The 19600-nt window shown below is 36.1% G+C and overlaps 1 protein-coding gene across 10 annotated transcripts in view, besides 1 other annotated feature; it reads right to left on the bottom strand.

The window, feature by feature from the left end:
* The window catches only part of FANCM (FA complementation group M), a 64961-nt gene continuing 45361 nt past the window's right edge, over nt 1–19600 (bottom strand). For 4 of the 10 annotated variants that reach the window (XM_011537034.3, XM_011537035.4, XM_047431634.1 and 1 more), the window contains 9 exons: nt 19367–19461; nt 19171–19254; nt 16989–17117; nt 15518–15674; nt 13004–13110; nt 11529–12089; nt 4344–4719; nt 1956–2247; nt 1–1021 (listed from right to left, as the gene is read on the bottom strand). In XM_011537034.3, the coding sequence (XP_011535336.1) occupies nt 883–1021; nt 1956–2247; nt 4344–4719; nt 11529–12089; nt 13004–13110; nt 15518–15674; nt 16989–17117; nt 19171–19254; nt 19367–19461 (1940 nt within the window). In that variant the 3' untranslated portion in view covers nt 1–882. Of the gene's footprint in view, nt 1022–1955; nt 2248–4343; nt 4720–11528; nt 12090–13003; nt 13111–15517; nt 15675–16988; nt 17118–19170; nt 19255–19366; nt 19462–19600 lie in introns of those variants that run through there. The other 6 variants (NM_020937.4, NM_001308133.2, XM_017021523.2 and 3 more) reach the window with 5 other exon arrangements.
* Nucleotides 1965–2484: an enhancer, noted in NCBI's record as "NANOG hESC enhancer chr14:45667610-45668129 (GRCh37/hg19 assembly coordinates)". NCBI's record gives its function as "activates a minimal SCP1, AML or CMV promoter by ChIP-STARR-seq in naive H9 embryonic stem cells {active_cell/tissue: H9 hESC(naive)}" and the evidence as "EXISTENCE:reporter gene assay evidence [ECO:0000049][PMID:30033119]".

Genomic DNA, 19600 nt, shown 5'->3' with positions numbered 1-19600 from the left:
TAATTTATAAGGAAAAGATGTTTAATTGACTCACAGTCCTGCATGGCTGGGGAGGCCTCGGGAACTTACAATCATGGTGGAGGGGAAGCAAACGTTTCCTTTTCCACATGGCAGTAGGCAAGAGAACTGCAGAGTGAACAGAGGAAAAGCTTATAAAACCATCAGATCCTCTGAGAACTATCACTAGAACAGCATGGGGGAACCGCCCCCATGAGCTAATCACGTTCCAGGAGGTCCCTCCCCAATATATTGGGATTATAATTCAGATTACAAGTCAAGATGAGATTTTGGTTGGGGACACAGCCAAACCATATCAGAGTTCATATTAATAGATTTGACAGTACTTAACTGGGACACACCTTTGGTCAGATAAACATTCAGTTAAGTTTTCTACTTTCCTAGTTACTGGGTCATTTATCTCACAACCCACCCATCACCCACACCTTACCAAGTACATGTATTTAGAATCAGTACACTTAAAAGTATACTATCTACACATAGGGAAAATCGACAAGTTGGCTGTAGTCATAGACATGTCAACTTTACTATTTATCACAACAGTACAACTTTAATTTTGGGAAACATTCCAAAGTATATCTCTAGCTTAGCTTTTACTTTCTTAAACTATCCTTAGTAACACTTTTAATAAACCTTGTTTTATTTAATAAGAAAAATTAGTTTTATAATCTAGTCAAAATGATCACTGAACATCAGATTTTTCTTTTTTAATAATTTCTATAATCTATAAATAAAAATGTATACAATATAAAATATTTAAATAAAATATTCTCTTATTTACAAATAAACATAAAACAGCAATGATTATTGAAGTGCATTTAATATTGTGAGAGGTCTTTGAAAACCCCATCTTGAGCAGCTTGATTATATATCAGATTTCAGTCTATCTTGGTTAAGATCATTTGGTAACATTTGTATGTCAAATACATAGTGAATATATCTATAGATCTCCTCAGCCTTCTGATGAGTTACTTGTGCATACATGGAGATTTCTTGAAGTGAGCTGAAAAATAAATGAGACAAAATCATTACACTAGGACTTTTGGCTTTTATAAAATTTAATATTACCTAAAGAACACCAAACACAGTAGCCTTTAAGGAAATCATCTCAAGCATTATCCGCCCAGCTGATATGTCTTGAACATTAGTTTGGATAAAAGAGCTACTTGTTTCCTTTCCTTAAAATTATCTAGAATAACAATTTCAACATCTTCAATGAACTGAATGTTTTTGTGTTGCCCAAAATTCATATGTTGAAGCCGTAATCCCAATGTGATGGTATTTGGAAGTGGCAACTTTGAGAATTAGTTGATAAAGGTGGATATCCTTGTGCACTTTTAAGAAGAGGTCAAAGAGCTAGCTAGCTCTATTTCTGCCATGTGAGGATACAATGAGAAGGCAGTAGTCTGTGACTCAGTAGAAAGCTCTCTCCAGAACCCAGCCATGATCTCAGACTTCCAGTATCCAGAACTGGCAGAAATAAATTTGTGTTGTTTGTGTATTTTATCATTGCAGCATGAGCTAAGACAGTATCTGATGTAGGCCTTTAATTAAAATGAACTACATTCTAAAATCTCCCTCTTCAAGCAATATAATGATCACAACTAGTAAAATACTCATTTTTCTTGTTACAGAACTGAACAGCCCAGAAATGTTAGATTGCAAGGTCAAAGGAAACTGCTATTTATTGTCTCTCCACAGAGCTCTAAGCTTCTCAAAGGAAATCCCTACACCTATTTTTTCTTTTTTCTTTTTTTCGAATAATGTCCCTTAGCTTCATACAGTAACTAATATATGTTGGCAGGCAAAAAATGTTTACTGAATAAAATAATCTAACAGGCATGATGCCGCTTAAATTTTTTTAACATTAAACTTCTATGGAATGCTTTTACGAATCTTTTAAAAGTAATCATTTAAAAATATTACAACAGACATACCTGTTAGCCATCCTTTTCACAGATGAAAACTGGTGACACATATTTAATGCAGTTATATAACTTATATTGGGAATACTTAAATAAAACTGGAGTGCCTCACTTTTATTACTATTCACCACTGTTGGAACATGAATACCAACATTCTTTCTTTGTTCCACTAAAGACAGTTCCTTTAGCAAATCTGCGGTTTCTTCTTGGCAGGAACTGAAAAGAATTCGGATTCCAGCGCCAATTAAGGTAGTCAGCAGGCTGTCATAGCTCTTTGTTCTCCTAAACATCCTTGATGTGTCTCCTAAATATTCATATTTAGGGAAAGGCAAACTTCAGTAACTAATATTAAGTAGAATTATTAATATACTTTATTTTATTAAAATCCCAAGATCTACACCATTGAGCAAACTGGTGCCACATTCTGCTAATGAGAAACCCTACAACTAATGTTTCTCAAATATCTGAGAAAGAAAATAGGGGTAACTATGAGCGCCTTGAGCTGGAATCAACGTAGAAAGGTGAATAAGGAAGAGCTTATATTCCTAGATAATTCACTCCTGAAGGCCAAGACTGTATTACTCATCTCTAGTTTTTCATGCTAGCTCTGATGAAGGGTGCATTAAGTACTGGTTTAATATAAAATTATCTTAGGTATTTATTCCAAAGAATAACTCAACAAATACCCTGTACACCCATTTTAACATCATCTTGCCAATTACTTCCCTACCCTTTCTTGTTCATTTTCTATTCCATATTCTACTTAAATCCTTTTATTGGTATTCCCTATTATGGCCCCCGATACTTTTCTATAACCTTTGCCATGTTACCTTCCTGTCTATTCCAAATCTATTTCCTTTATCCCTGACTTTTCAAATTAAAAAGAAGGCTGGTGGCTCAAACATGTAATCCCAGCACTTTGGGAGGCTGAGGCAGGAAGATAACGAGGTCAAGAAATCGAGACCATCCTGGCCAACATGGTGAAACCTCGTCTCTACAAAAAATATAAAAAAAAAATTAGCTGAGCATGGTGGCACGCACCTGTAGTCTCAGCTACTCAGAAGACTGAGGCAGGAGAATCACTTGAACACAGGAGGCGGAGGTTGCAGTGAGCCGAGATTGCGCCACTGCACTCCAGCCTGGGCGACAGAGCAAGACTCCATTTCAAAAAAAAAAAAAAGAAGGCTGGGCATGGTGGCTCATGCCTGTAATCCCAGCACTTTGGAAGGCTGAGGCAGGCAGATCACCTGAGGTCAAGAGTTCAAGACCAGCCTGACCAACATGGTGAAACACCATCTCTACTAAAAATACAAAAATTAGCTGGGCATGGTGGCACATGCCTGTAATCCCAGCTACTCAGGAAGCTGAGGCAGGAGAATTGCTTGAACCCGGGAGGTGGAGGTTGCAGTGAGCCGAGATCATGCCACTGCACTCCAGCCTGGGCAACAGAGCGAGACTCTGTCTCAAAAAAAAAAAACAAAAAAAAAATTGGGTAACCAAAAGATAAAATGACTTATCTAAGGCCACACGGTTCACCAATGACAAAATGGGGATGAAAAGGCTGCCCAACTCCCACACCAATGTTTTACATAAACTACACTATTACCAAAAGTATAATTCTTCAATTCTTCCGCAGTGGCTTTCACCTACATGCTTTTACTTAGTTCTCATAATATCACAAGATGAGTAGAACAAGTGTATTATCAGTTCCTCAGAGGGAGTGATTTGTCAATGCAATATCACACAGAGAAGCCAGTAATTGGTGTGTCTTCTGATTCCATATCTCATGATCTTTTTACTGTTCTTGAGGGCTCGCCATACAATTAAATAATTACTGCAGAAATCTTCTACCTGAAGCTCCAATCCTGCACTTCCAAATGCATCCTAGGTACCCACTTCAGTGACCCATTGAGAACTCGATCTTAACGTGTTCAAAATTGAACTTCCCTTGTCCCTTATATCTGTTGCTTCCCTTATATTCATAATTGCAATAAACAGTACCACTACTTAACTGCCCAATAACCAAGAAGTTGGTCAACTCAGTAATTCTCAACTCCTCCCACCAACTCTTGCTAATCCTGACTCCTTAAACATCTCCCGAATACTACTTCTCCTCCCCATTGCTGCCTTAGTTAAGGCCCTCATCCTTCCTGGGTTCCTGAAAAAGTCTTATGTTTGGCAGACTTGCCTTCAGTTTCCAACCCTTCATTTCTCATAAGCTGCATTTAAATACAATGACTAATGAAAGCCATTATGGCTGTATGAAAATATGAAATGACATTCACCAGTCAGGTGTTTATATTTTAAGAGTTTCCCACATCCTAATAATAGAAGAATAAACTAAGTTAACCGTAAAGTTCCTTTACAGTCTTATAAACAAAGATATTTAAAAATACAAACCTGTTTTTTCTCTGTCCTTTTCCACAATCACACATATTCTTTCAAACATACTCTGCAGGTGCTGGATCTGCTCAATGAACTTGTTCTTATTGACACTATTTAACATCTCAGATTGAGACCTCCTTTCCACCACCATGCGATTACTCACGATGTAATCACAGCCATTAAGAGGACAAACTTCTACTTGCAACCCATGAATTGCTCTTAGGGAAGAAATTACTTCTAATCCAGAAGTGATTTCATGACCACCTACAAGAATACAGGTTCCTTTTCCTTCCTGCGGAAGTCTAAGAGAAGTATGTGTCCCAGCTAAATGTGGTCTTGACTTGGAACAGGATGCCCCTGAAGTGCTAGAATCCTCCAAAGCACTACCATCCTGAAAAAGTGGAAAACACTGGTCACATTCAGGTTAAATGCATAAAAATGCCATAAACGTCTCACACCCGAAGTTGATTATCCTTAATGAGAATGTCCAGTTTTCGTCCTTCAATTTGACCAAAGTGACAATAAATGAAGGAACACATAAGTCACTACTCTTACACCTCAAAAAATTCTAAAGCTATAATTAACAACAAAAGCTAAGAACAAAAGGATGTAAAGAAATAGCAGAAAGTCTAAAAATGAACAGGAAAGGAAATGTGTTAAAAAAGAAAATTATAATTTTTAGCCTAGAGAAAAAAAACAAACGAATGGAAGGTGAAATAACCTTTGAGCAGATTAGAGTTCATCATGAAGAATAAGGAAACCAGACAAGATATTTTTGAAAAATAATAGGAAGATCAGATAACCAGAAAGTATCTCCAGTTGAAAACAACTAAACCTGTTCAGTTTTAAAAAACTAACATGTTTGTAAAAAAATATTTAGAAATACATAACTGGTCTGACCAGAAAGTAAGGAATGCACCGAGGTCAAAAACAACATGGAAGTGAGAATTTTGGAAGTTACTTAAGTCAGAACATACCCAGCTTTCCTTTCCAAAGTAATCTGCCAAATCCTGTGGACCATGAGCTCCTCTTTTTGCAGAGGCAGAGGGCATGGGAAACATTAGTGCTAGATGTCCGAACCTCTGTCCCCAAAAACAGTTAAACGTTTATTATAAGCGCAAATAAAAAATAAATCTACTCCATAAAAACAGAAAGGAAAAAGTAGTTCTCAATCTTAATATCTGGTAGAGAGGTAAGATCTCGAATTGGTATCTACATACTGGCCCTCCAGCCCTCATGTAGGCTTGTAGCCAGAATACACAATACCTGTGTGATCCACAAAAACCTTAAGCAAGTAATAAAATGTCCTCTCCAAAAAGAAATGCAAATGGCTCTTATGAGCTATATGAATGTATGAAACTGAAAGAAAAAAGATGCTTTCAACTTTGCTATGGAAAGAAAAACACAAATTTGAAACTATGACAAGCCATCTCTCACTAGGTTTACAATATTCTCTGTTAATGAGGTTCTGGAGAAATCAGAAATTCTTTTACAGTGCTGGTAGTAATAAAAATATGATACAGCGGTGGCTCACACCTGTAATCCCAGCACTTTGGGTGGCTGAGGCGAGTGGATCACTTGAGGTCAGGAGTTCGAGACCAGCCTGGCCAACGTGGTGAAACCCTGTCTCTACTAAAAATACAACAATTATCTGGGTGTGGGAGGCGGAGTTGCAGTGAGCCGAGATCACGCCACTGCACTCCAGCCTGGGCTACGGAGCGAGGCTCTGCCTCAAAAAAAAAAAAAAAAAGGCACAACCTATAGAGAAGTTAGCAATATCTGGCAACATTACATATGCATTTACTTTTTACAGCAACTCCAAGAAATTAATCCCAAAGTTACACCGGCAACATTTAAGAGGATACAAACATGGCTATTTATTATAAGAATGAAAGATTAGAAACAACCTACATACGCATCAATATGGAAATGTTGAACAAATTATTACATAATCATACAATGGTGTATGCAGCTGCACAAAGTAATGAGGAATATATATCTGTATATTACTATTAAGTGAACCTGAGGATACAGTTTTAAGTAAAAAAATCAAGATGGGATAAAGTATGTATTGTATTTTACTACTTATCTAAGGAAGATTAAAAATATAAAAGTATCTAATTATATATTTCAAGCAATGTATAAACAAAGCGAAGTATGTAGGTATTTTTAATTATTACCTTTGTACAAGGAAGGAAGCAGTGAAGGACACAAAAATAAAACTGGAATTTGTTTGGTTTTTTTTTGTTTTTTTTTTTTTGAGACGGAGTTTCACTCTTGTCACCCAGGCTGGAGTGCAATGGTGCAGTCTCAGCTCACTGCAACCTCTGCCTACCGGGTTCAAGCCATTCTCCTGCCTCAGCCTCCTGAGTAGCTGGGACTACAGGCACCTGCCACGACACCTGGCTGATTTTTATATTTTTAGTAGAGATGGGGTTTCACCATGTTGGCCAGGCTGGTCTTGAGCTCCTAGCCTCAGGTGATCCACCCACCTCGGCCTCCCAAAGTGCTGGGATTACAGGCATGAGCTACCATGCCTGGCCTGGAATTTGTTGAATATAAATTCTTTTGCAGATTTTAATTTTGGACCATGAACAAAATAAATAAAAAGACATCCCATTTTCATGCATTGAGAAATTTAACATTATTAAGATGACAATACTACCCAAAATAATCTATGGATTCAACACAATCTGTTTCAAAATTCCAAAAGCATATATTGCAGAAATGGGAAAACTCATACTAAATTTCATATATTTCAAGGGACTCTGAATATCTAAAACAATGTTAAAAAAAAAAACAAAGTTAGAAAACTCAGACTTACCAACTTCAAAATTTCTATAAAGCTACAGGAATCAAGACAGTGTGGTACTGGCATAGAAAAAGACATATGCCAAAGAACTGAGAGCCTAGAAATAAACCCTCACATATATGGTCAACTGATTTTAAGCAAGATAGCCATGCACCACCAACAACAAAAGCTGGACTTTTATATCATTAACGAAAGTTAGCTCAAAATGAATCAAAGGTATACCCTGAAGAATTAAAACTATAAAACTCTTACAAGGAAACATAAAGAAAAATCTTCATGACTGGATTTGGCAAGATGTTCTCTTCCCACACTTGTGTCAGCAGATTGCTCTAGTTACCTGGTGTTTGCTAGCCTGGTGGGAGGGAGCACTAGGAGTATGGAATTAGTGTTTTCTGTTGTCCTGGTTCAGCCATAGTCTTGGGCAGGACTTGTGTCCCCAGGTCTCGAAGGTAGGAATTTCTCAGTGATCTTACTCTCCCTCCCAGTTATTACAGACCTCTAATTGTCTAGGCTTAAGATGTTTTCCTGCCCTTCTCCCAGTTATAGAGGGTATTTTCTTGTTTCCTTCCTGATCTGTGGTCTTCACCTAAGCTCTGAAGGCAATAGAGTTTGCTGCTCTTCCCACAGTAGCTTAAAGCTTTTTGTTCCATAGGGGAAACAGGGAAGGAACAAGGTGAGGCATGGTTCCTTTTCCACAGTAATTGCTTGTCTCTTCCCCAAGGACTGTACTAGGAAAAAGCATTTTTCTCATTCTCAGTCTTTTTTGTGAACGCCTGATGAGTGTGTGAAGAAAAGCCCATGAGTGGCTATAAATTCCCCACTGTGTCTACAACTCCCAGGGGTTCTAAACTTTCATGCTAGTCCACTGCCTTTTGCAATTCACTAACGTTTTAGCTGAAATTTTTTTTTAATTTTTTTTTTTTAGACAGAGTCTCATTTTGTTGCCCAGGCTGAAGTGCAGTGGCATGATCATAGCTCACCGCAACCTCAACCTCCCAGGGTCAGGTGATCCTTCCACCTTAGCATGCTGAGTAGCTGGGACTACAGGTATGCACCAGCATGCCAGGCTAATTTTTTTGTTGCTTTTGTTTGGTTTTTCTTTTTTTTTGAGATGGAGTCTCGCTATGTTGCACAGGCTGGAGTGCAGTGGCGCAATCTTGGCTCACTGCAACCTCTCTCTCCCAGCTTCAAGCAATTCTCCTGGCGCAGCCTCCTGAATAGCTGGGGCTACAGGCATGTGCCACCACGTCTGGCTAATTTTTTGTATTTTTAGTAGTGACGGAGTTTCACTGTGTTGGCCAGGCTGGTATCAAACTCCTGACCTCAAGTGATCCACCTGCCTCGGCCTCCCAAAGTGCTGGGATTATAGGCGTAAGCCACTGCCCCTGGTCAGCTGAATTATTTTTACCAGATTTCACAGTGTCCAGTGATTGCCATGAATCAGCAAGCTTTTCATTGGAGGGGCCTGTTTTTCCTTAAATATCAGCCTAACTGTTTGCCCTACAACCTTAGCTCTGTAATTGTTTCAAGAAAACATGATTTTGCAGATGACTGGCTCTTTGTTATAGTAAGGATGGGAGCAATACTCCCTCCACCTTTCTACATCATAACTTAAGATGGACTTTCTATCTTTTAACATCCTAGACTAAGATCAACATCCCAATTATTCAGAAATTATCACTAAAATATATTTAATATTTAATTTTTAAAAATGAATAATAAATGTAATGAAGGAGGAAATGGCCCTAAAGAACTAGAAGAAAATAGTGGAAGTACTTAGTTTTCTTAGAGTATGGCTTTCTAAACATGACAACAAGGTCAGGAAATACAAAGAAAAAAAGTCTAGGCTGCATAAAGAAGTTATATTTCATATAGCAAGAAACACTAAACACAAAACAAAAAAGCAAAAGACAAGGAATACTGTTTGTAATATACATGACAATGCAAATATTAGTATTTTTAATCTGTGAAGATTTTTGTCAGGGTAGTCTATTTTATGTCTTTTCAAATTTACCTCAAAAAATTCTTTCTCCTCCTAATTTCAAGTAATAAGAATCACACTATATGTAATTTTATTCAATAACAGTAGAAAACTTAAAACTTTTTCCACTAAGCCCTACTGATCCCTTTTCATAGTCCTCTTCAAAGTATCACTATCCTATATCTATTTTTTAGTTAGGACATACCAAAGTACAAATATTGCTTAAAGTGTTAGTGCTTACCAGTGCTTATTTCTCTTTTCAAAGTAAAGAGCACTGGAGTGTGGTGTGGGGGTGAATAGGCAACTATGGTGATTAGAAGCCCAGAAGGGCAGTGTGGAGGCACCCAGGCTCTGTAGCCTCATCTCCACTGCTTAGATAGGCTTAGCCCAGGGTCAGGAGGGACTCTGCCTTGTCGAGAAAAGCCTAGGATACTGAGACACTCGCAAATGTCACTAGTGTGAATTACAGCTGAAGAAACTACACTACTGTATCCACCTAGAACCAAGGCCAACACACCCTACCAAATTGACACCCTAAGACACATTCATACAAATAAGTCTTTCCCTGGGAAATTACTCCATAAAACTTGAAGAGATGAATGTCCCACTGGATGTGTAGAAATCAACATAAGGACACGTCATATATGAAAAAGCAAGGACACCATACTTCCAAAGGAACACAATGATTCTCAAATAACAGACCCCATTTATAAGGAATTATACAAAAATAATAATCTTGCCAGGCATGGTGTTGCATGTCCATAGTCCCAGCTACTAAGAAGGCTGAGGTAGGAGGATCACATGAGCCCAGGAGTTCAAGTCAGCAGTGAGCTATGATCACACCTGTGGATAGCCACTGTAATCCAGCCTAAGCAACACAATAAGAACTCATCTTGGGATTTTAATCTCTATACTATAGATGAGGATATTGAAACTCAAAGAAATGAAGTACTTTCTTGTTCTCCAGTCTATTATAAAGACTTAATGTAGTCAATCTTTTCCTAACAATGCCTTCAAGAAATAACTATGACCAAAAAAAAAAAAAAATGGGGACAATTTGCAATGGGAAACACAAATATGAGGACCATTGTGTGGACACTGTCAAGCATGTGGCTAAGGCAGAGTGTGATGAAACACCTTGGGGATAAAGAGAAGTAGAAGCAGAGAGCAGAATAGTGGTTAGTAAGGGGGTTAAGGTTGGGGCGGAGGGTGTTGGTCAAATTATACAAAATTTCAGATAAGAAGACTATAGTTAATTACAAGGTATTTTATCTTGAAAATCACTGAAAGAGTAAATTTTAAGTGTTCTCATTCTCAACCAAAAAATAAGTATTTGAGGTAACACATATGTTAATTAGCTTGATCTAGCCATTCCACAATGTATACATATTTCAAAACATCATGTTATACTTGGTAAATATATACAATTGTCAATTCTAAAAAGTATTTTTTAGTAAGTCTATTTTCAGTCTCACTCCTAGTTAACCAAATAATGAATCAATATATATAGTTCCTATTATTATTTCTTTAACCCCTATTTAGCAAAATTACTGTAACTATAAACCCTTAAAAACGAGAAACAGTTTTACAGTGATTCTTCTAGAAATAGCACAATAGGAGAAAGTAAAACTGGACTACTTAGCAGCCATTCTGGAAGGAAATGGAAGAAAACTTTAAGAAGGAAACCAGTTGGTACTCCCAAATTCCTTTACCCAATAAAAAGGACTTACATACCCAAAGCCTTCTGAGAAGGAGAAAAGTTAACCTGGGAACTAGTTCTAGTTCTTTTTTTTTTTTTTTTTGAGATGGAGTCTTGCTCTGTCACCCAGGCTGGGGTGCAATGGCATGATCTCGGCTGACTGCAACCTCTGCCTCCCGGATTTAAGCGATTCTCCTACCTCAACCTCCCAAGTAGGTGGGACTACAGGGATACGCAACCACACCTGGCTGATTTTGTGTTTTTAGTAGAGACGGGATTTCATCATGTTGGCCAGGCTAGTCTTGAACTCCTGACCTCAAGTGATCCACCTGCCTCGGCCTCCCAGAGTGCTGGGATTACAGGCATGAGCCACCGCATCTGGCCAGGGAACTAACTCTGAACACATAATTTCAGTTAATTTTGCCTTGCAGAAAGCCCTATTTTCCCACAACCTTTTAATAAAATTATCAAGTTTCCTTACATAGTGTTAACAAAACATTAACATATTTAAAAAATTAAAACCTAAGCACCCTGTGAATTGCCCATATAATTTTGTGTATTGTTTTCTTGTTTGAAGACATTTTCTGCAAAATTTTTTTGTTAATTTTTCTTTGACCTAGTTATTTAATACAAAACACACACACAAGAAAGAAAAAGAAAAACTTCTGGTAACCATCTAAAGATATTTTTCCTTTCTTTGATCCATACCTTCTGTGGAACTGGAAATTTTCTACAGTCTTTCTGTGAATCAACAGTAGTGAAGGGTGGTGTGGTAGACTGGACTTCATTATGATTCTGAGGTTTGAAGTCTGAGACTTCGGAAATTGTATCCTTTAAATTCAGCGATGTCTGTTTGCTCTGCTTTGCTAATGGATTAACTCTTGGAGTAGAACGCACCTTGGACTGCGCAGAAGATCCAGAAGGCACTGAATTTAAACAATGGTCCTGTTGTTTGTTCTTCTTAACAGTGCTTGGGTTAACCGCAATATTAGATTCTCTTTTATCATTTACATTGTTCTCCTCCTCACTTGAATCATCTGGTAAAATAATTCTGGATAATTTCTTTTTTGAATGTGCACAATTTTGTTCCATCATTTCTTTTAGCATTACTGCACGTCGAGTTTTATACTTTTTACTATTTGCAAAGCAATCATCAGTTATTAAGTTAAAATCAACACAAACTTCTTCTTCACTTGATTGGCCTTTGCAAGACTCCTCTTCATCAACACAAAAACTATCCTCTAAATAGGTTTCATCTTGTTCAGGAATCTACAATAAAAACACAAGAATGTTTTATATTTATTTCAGACAATTAACAGGTATTTAAAATATACTTCTAGGCACATGAAATCTGCATTAATATTTGTTTAATTTACTTTATTAATTCAGCCACTTACTCAACTAACATAAACTAAGTACATTCTTTATGGAGGAAAATGAGTTTGAGGATAAAGGAAAAGAATGATTTACCGTCTAGAAATTTAAGGGCTAATAACAGGTAGGTAGAAAGTAAACAATAATAATAGATGATAAATGCTATATAATAAGCACAATGGAAGTACAGAGAGTACACATTACCAAGCTGAACATGGCAATTTATAAACAAACACAACTAATATGAAAATGTTATCCATAAGTGACATAACCTATAATTTTCAGCATTTAACATTTTTATGAAAAAAAATGAATTTTGATCAACCAAGGACAAAAAAGGAATCTTTTTTACTTTTTGAGATGGAGTTTTGCTCTTGTCGCCCAGGCTGGAGTGCAATGGTGCAATCTTGGCTCATTGCAACCTCTGCCTCCCGGGTTCAAGCAATTCTCCTGCCTCAGCCTCCCAAGTAGCTGGGATTACAGGCATGTGCCACCATGCCTGGCTAATTTTTGTATTATTAGCAGAGATGGGGTTTCACCATGTTGGCCAGGCTGGTCTTGAACTCCTGACCTCCGGTGATCTACCAGCATCGGCCTCCCAAAGTGCTGGGATTACAGGCGTGAGCCACCGCACATGGCCAAAAAGGGATCTTGAGAATCCATTTAGTCGAGCTTCCTGACTTTGGGCAGAAATGATCTCAAATAGCTCTGACAGCCCAGTTTTAGAAACAAAATGGAGGCTTCACTAACAGGAACATATTTCAACATCATCATCCAGAAATTCTCCATTATATTTCTATAGTTCATACCTGCGAGAAAATGTTTATGTTTTTATGTGTCTTATGAATCATTTTGTACTTATTGTTCATCATTGGACTACGCAAAGATTTCATGTAAATAGCTCTCATTTCAGAATCTGTGTAAAGATAAGAATTTAGATAAATTAGCAAAATTATTTAAATGAAAACCAGTAAAGTATTTAACTTCAATCTATTTCAAATTTACTTGATTCAAACCTTGTGCAAATATTTTACACAAAGACAATAAATATTAAAAGATATCTATAAACAATTATTCAAAAATATAAAGTTAGGAGTTTAGCCTTTGAAATCAGATTTTCTAGTTGAGTGATCATGGACAACTTAAGTTCCCTGCTTTATCTATCTCTCTGAAAATGAGGATTAAAATGGTGACTTTTCTTTCAAAACAAAGGTATACAAAGACCTTAAAACTGTACCAGATTTATAGAAGTTTCAAAAAAAATAAGAAATCTAGCCAGAAAAGCAAATATGCACTAAAAACATTAAAACCCACAGCCAATAAAAAGTATATTTCATAATTTTCAGTTAAGCAAAACCTGGGAAACACATTGGTTTTTTTTTATGGCTAGCATTTTTAAAAGTTATAATATAATGAAAGGTACTTGAGACATGATACATAAAAACAAAAGATAATGTGAATTTCGAGGTACTTTAAAAAAAAAAAAAGCTTTGAAATTGTACATAGTTCAAACATACTGTGTCTAAAATGGAATTTCAAACCTCTATAATCACCATCTAAATTGCTTCATCTGCAGCCTTCCCAATAACATAACAGCAAATATGTCCTTCTTGTTGCTCAAGCCTACTGACTCCTCCTTTTTTTCTAATCCATTGGAAAATCCTGTCAGCTTTATGTATCCAGAATCCAATCTTTCTCACTCTCCTCAGTGCTACTATCTTGGTAGAAGCCACTAGCATTCCTTGATTGGAGGACCTCAACAGTCTCCTAACTGGTCTCAGTCTACCTCTGTTCCCCTATAGGCCATTCTCAACACAGAAGCTGGAGAGATTCTACTAAATTATGTCAGATTATGATCTGGCTGCTAGTTCTCTGATCTTCCTACTACCTTCCCTTTTCCCTCATTCCAGTCACAACACTATTCCTTCAACAGGCCAGGCACACTACTGACTCGGGGCCTTTGCACTGGCTGTTGTCTTTGCATCAACATTCTTCCACTGGATTATATTGTAAACCTGCAAAACACTTCTGTTAATGAACATCAAGGACATAAAACCTTATCCTGCAAATTATACAAATTATATCAGCATTAAGGACAGTACTGAGAACATTGCCTTTTAAACACTTTTTTCTTAAAAGTCACGAACTTTGAGAAACTTTGTCACTTTAAATAATATCAGAGACTGCAAAAGCAGAATAAATGATGAGATCTGTGAAAGATTAGAATACTGAAGAGATATAGTCAGAATATTTCTCACTTCTGTTACAGCCAATCTGAACCATCTCCTCTAAATATATTGTATGTAAGATCCGTTCAAGCATTGGATGAACACACTGTTTTCTGAAAGTAAACTGCCCTTACATGGCAAATTTAATAAATTTAGCTTTGTATTGCAGTTGGTCTTAACAATCTACATCACTAAATCTCTCTTCTTCTAGTCTCTGATGATGTCACCTTCTCAATGAGGCCTCTTCCTAACTGCCTTATTTAAAATAACAGCTAGGCAGAGTGCAGTGGCTCACAGCTATAGACCCAGTACTTTGAGAGGCCAAGGTGAGAGGATTGCTTGAGGCCTGGAGTTGGAGACCAACCTGGGCAACATAGTGAGATTACATCTCTACAAAAGGCCAAAAAAATTAACTGGTCATGGTGGCACATGCCTGTAGTCCTATAGGAGGCTAAAGCAGGAGAATCTCCCGAGCCTAGGAGTTCAAGGCTGCAGTGAACTATGACTGCGCCACTGCACCCTACTCTGGGCAACAGAGTAAGACTCTGTCTCTAAAAAAATAAAACTAAAAAATAATACAATAAAATGGCAACTTGTCTGTTATTTATACCCTCAACCCCAGTTACTCCAAATTTTTCTCATCTTGGCCAACTTTTTTATTTTTCTGTAACTCTTTATCTTACAATAAACTAAATAATTTAGTTAGTATATATATTGTCTGTCTCTTTCCATTTGAATGTAGGCTTCATAAGAAGAAATTTTTTGTCTATTTTGTTCATTCATATATGGTTCTTAAATGCCTTACATAGTACTAGGCATGTAGCGGGCAATAAACACTTGTGAAATGAACATTTCACACTTGAGCAACCCAGGTCAATCTGAAGAGAAATATTCAAATTAGCAGAAGCCTATGAACAATCAGTCTAAAATAAAGCAAGTATTAAAGAATTTGAATGAAAATGACCAAATAAATATTTTGCACGTACCACATTTAATTACCTTTAAGGTCTAGTTTCATTAAAAACTGATTAAAATATTTAAATATAAGCACATAAAAACATTGAAAAAAATTTTAAGGATCATTATAACATTTACCATTTATAGCCTGTGAAAGTTGAGTTTCATCATTTAAAAAGTCAAGTAATGAGGAATCTTGTTCATTTTCTGACTCATCATTTTCATCTGATGAAACATATTCTGCATCTTCTTCAGAAAGTTCTGCTTCATCATCTAAAAACTTCCTAGCTACATGCTAAGTAAGACAAATTAGAAAACATGAAGATATCAGTGAGAAAATAATTTTCTTTCATGATTGGAAATAATTCTGGAAAACTGATTTCTTATCAATGCTTTTAAGATTAATAAAATAATAAAAACAAAATTTCTAGGCCCAGTGCAGTGATGCATGTCTGTAATCCCAGCACTATGGGAGGCCGAAGCAGGTGGATCACCTGAGGTCAGGAGTTCAAGGCCAGCCTGACTAACATGGTGAAACCCCATCTTTACAAAATACAAAAAAAAAAAAAAATTGGCAGGGTGTGGTGGCGCATGCCTGTAATCCCAGCTACTCGGGAAGCTGAGGCAGGAGAATCACTTGAACCTGGGAGGTGAAGGTTGCAGTGAGCTGAGATGGTGCCACTGCACTCCAGTCTGTGGCAGTAACAGCGAAACTCTGTCTAAAAAAAAAAAAAAGAAAATCCCAAGAAGAAATGATAAAGTTACCTATCTATTTAAAAATTCTGATAATTCTGTCATAAAATAAAGTAAAAGTTGGTATATTTGCTTGATCTTTTTTTTTTTTTTTTTTTGAGACAGAGTCTCACTTTGTTGCCCAGGCGGGAGTGCAGTGGCGCAATCTTGGCTCACTGCAACCTCCGCTTCCTGGTTCAAGAGATTTTCCTGCCTCAGCCTCCCGAGTAGCTGGGATTACAGGCATGTGCCATCACGCCCAGCTAATTTTTGTATTTTTAGTAGAGACAGGGTTTCACCATGTTGGCCAGGCTGGTCTCAAACTCCTGATCTCAGGTGATCCACCTGGCTCAGCCTCCCAAAGTGCTGGGATTACAGGCGTGAGCCACCGCGCCCAGCCTGCTTGATGTTTCTTAATAAGCATAAAATTTCCTGAGTCTTTCCAGCTCTTTCAAGAAAATTACTGCACCACAAAAGAACTTAATCAGAAAGGAAAGGTACTGAGAACATTTTCCAAGTATTTGAAAATTGGATACAAATAAGAAAAACAATATAATGATCATAAAAGCAAACATCTTAAAACTCAAATTTCTAATTCTATATTTTCTTCAATTTGAAACATAAATTCTCAATACACTTGAGTTTTTTGGTATTCATTCAAAGTAACACAACACTGCAAGATAAAGCATCAAAACACAAAGATAAACAAAAAAAAACTACTTTGAATTTAATTCCAGTAAAAAAAATCTAAATGGGTGTCAAAATACTTAATTTTTTTCTATAAAGAGAATGTATAGAGAAATCTACATTGATGTAAAACCAATTATCTTTACTGATAAAATGCATACATATTTAAAGAAACTAAAAAAAAGATTACCTTTAAGTGACTCTGTCTCTTTGGGACTTTGATGCCTCTTCTGGCATTCCCGTTACAAACCTTGAAGTCTTCTAATTGTGAACATGGTTTGGGAAAATTCTCACTCTCATCACTAGATGATAATTCTGACTATAATAATTCGACAAAATTCTTGCATAAGAAAAAAATATTTTCTTCCTAGACAAGTAAAATTGCTCTTACAACTCAGAGCCATGTTATAAATACATAATATTAATGTTATAAATACTTAAGAATGTAAAAGTAAATAACTTAGGTAATATTAAATGCTAAAATACTAAATTAGGTTATAAGTAATACTAGTATAGGTATTCATCCAATATAGTATTACATCGAATATGTTTGATGAAAACATACTTTTAGTTTTTATTTTTATTTTTTCTGCAAACACTATGGTGACTTAGAAAACTGATACTTTTAGTTTAACAGTATTTCCTTCAGAAGATCTTCAAGGGCTTCACAAAGAACAAGCCTATAAATTTGGCCATCAAAATCAGTCCAAATATAGGAATCATTTGAAACTAAGAAACAAATAAAACAATAACAAGTTTTGACTATGAGGCCTATCACCATATCTCTTATAGGATAACACAAAACCAGTCAAAAGAATCAAAAGTTTATCAAAATCATTTCAATTAACAGGAATAAATTTAGTTTAAAACAAATTGATCATCAGCATTATCAATATTTTAAATCATTTCTGATAAGTCAATCAGATGTTCTAGTTAAGGTAGCAAGTTGTTTTTCTAATGAAGTCTTATATGAGTACACAATGTTAATACGGACTGGCTGTATTTTTAATTACATATGGTCCCCAACTTACGATGGTTCAACTTAATGATTTTTCGACCTCTCCATAGTGCAAAAGTGATATGCATGCAGTAGAAACCAAATTTCAAGTGCCCATACAAACATTCTGTTCTTCACTTTCAGTACAGTATTATTAATAAATTACATGAGATATTCAACATTTTATTATAAAATAAGCTTTGTGTTAGATGATTTTGACCAAATATAAGTGTTTTGAACACGTTTAAGGTAGGCTAGGCTAAGCTGTGATATTCAGTAGATTAGGTGTATTAAATGCATTTTCAACATACAATGTTTTCCATTTATGATGTGCGTATCAGGATCCAACTCTATTGTAAGTTGAGAAGCACCTGTAATTTTACACAAATTATCCTAGACTGTATTCGAGAATTAAAACAGACAAGATTTGCTAGTCTCAAAATTTAGCTATCAGCTATAAACTGGTGAGTATCATTAACCTTAAGACCTGTCCATCTATCAAACTTGAGATTCACAGTCATCAATGCCTGCCAGACGCTGTGACTTTACTATCCCACAGAAACTTCAAACTCAAACCTGTTCAACACTTACCATCTCTTTCTTGTTTAGCCTAAATCCGTGACACACTTGCCAAACAGCTCAAGCCAAAAACCAGAGTCATCCTGGACTCCTTCCTTTCCTTCTTTCAAACTCATTCAGTAATCAAATGAAAAGAATAAGCAATTCTAACCCTTGACCTTGATTTTTCTCCAATTTTACTTCTTGAAACTCTTTTGTTTTTACAATCTAATAACATAGAGATGCCGTTTCTCACTTTTGGGTCTTCCTTTAGGCTGTTATTCTGTAAACAATGCCTTCTCTTCTCCCTTCTTTGGCCTCACTGCCAAATACAGTTTAAGGTTTAACTAAGGTATGACCTTCAAGAAGCTTGCCAGAACTCCCGAGATCGAGGTTAAGGGCTTAACTTTTCTTATCACTCAACTTTAAAAATTATACTGAAATTATCTGTTTACTTCTCTGTCTCTCCTATTGAGTAACTTATGACAGTTTTAGGATATATTCTTGAGAGTATCTCCAGCATCTTACACAGTAGACACATAGGAGGTATTTAATGAATGCTTGCCGAATTGCTCAAGTGTACTGACAAAAATAGGATGGTTTTTAAAGAGTCTAAAATTACTTAATATTTTTATTTATTGTGCTTAGGAAAGTTTACAGTGAATACATCTTTGAAAACTAACAGAAGCTAGAAATTCCAATCACATACAATAGAATATCAACTTTTCTACTAAGGATTAAAAATACCTATATTTATCTACACATATATTTCTCTCAAAATTTTTATTCCAAAGGAATTTGGATTACTATACATTACCTGGTATTTACTTACTCTGTTTATAGGAAATCTGCGCTTTTTGACAGCATGAAGTGGAGAATCAACTTCACTATTTTTCTGATCCTAAAGTAAGTAAATAAAGTAAAAGGCAACAAAAGTCTCAGCAGAAGCCCAAGGTATAAAAGGAAAATAGCCTTTGATATGATTATACTATTGTGATTACTGAATGACTCACCTCAGGAGAGTTTAAAACATTTCCTTTTGCTCTTTTAACTTTTCTTCGGAAAATCTCGTCATCTTCACTTTCGTTACTTGTTAATAATTGTCCATCTATAATTTATTTTTTAAAATAATGAATGGTTAATAGATTTAGGTTTACCCAATCATAACAATCTATTTTATTGATGGCTACATTAAGAATTATTTCACGCAATCTCAACATTTATTCACTTTCAAAAAAAGATAGTCT

This window comes from Homo sapiens, chromosome 14 (assembly GCF_000001405.40).
Source record: "Homo sapiens chromosome 14, GRCh38.p14 Primary Assembly".
Taxonomy (NCBI): Eukaryota; Metazoa; Chordata; class Mammalia; order Primates; family Hominidae; genus Homo; species Homo sapiens.
This window is presented reverse-complemented; position numbering and strand designations above follow the sequence as displayed.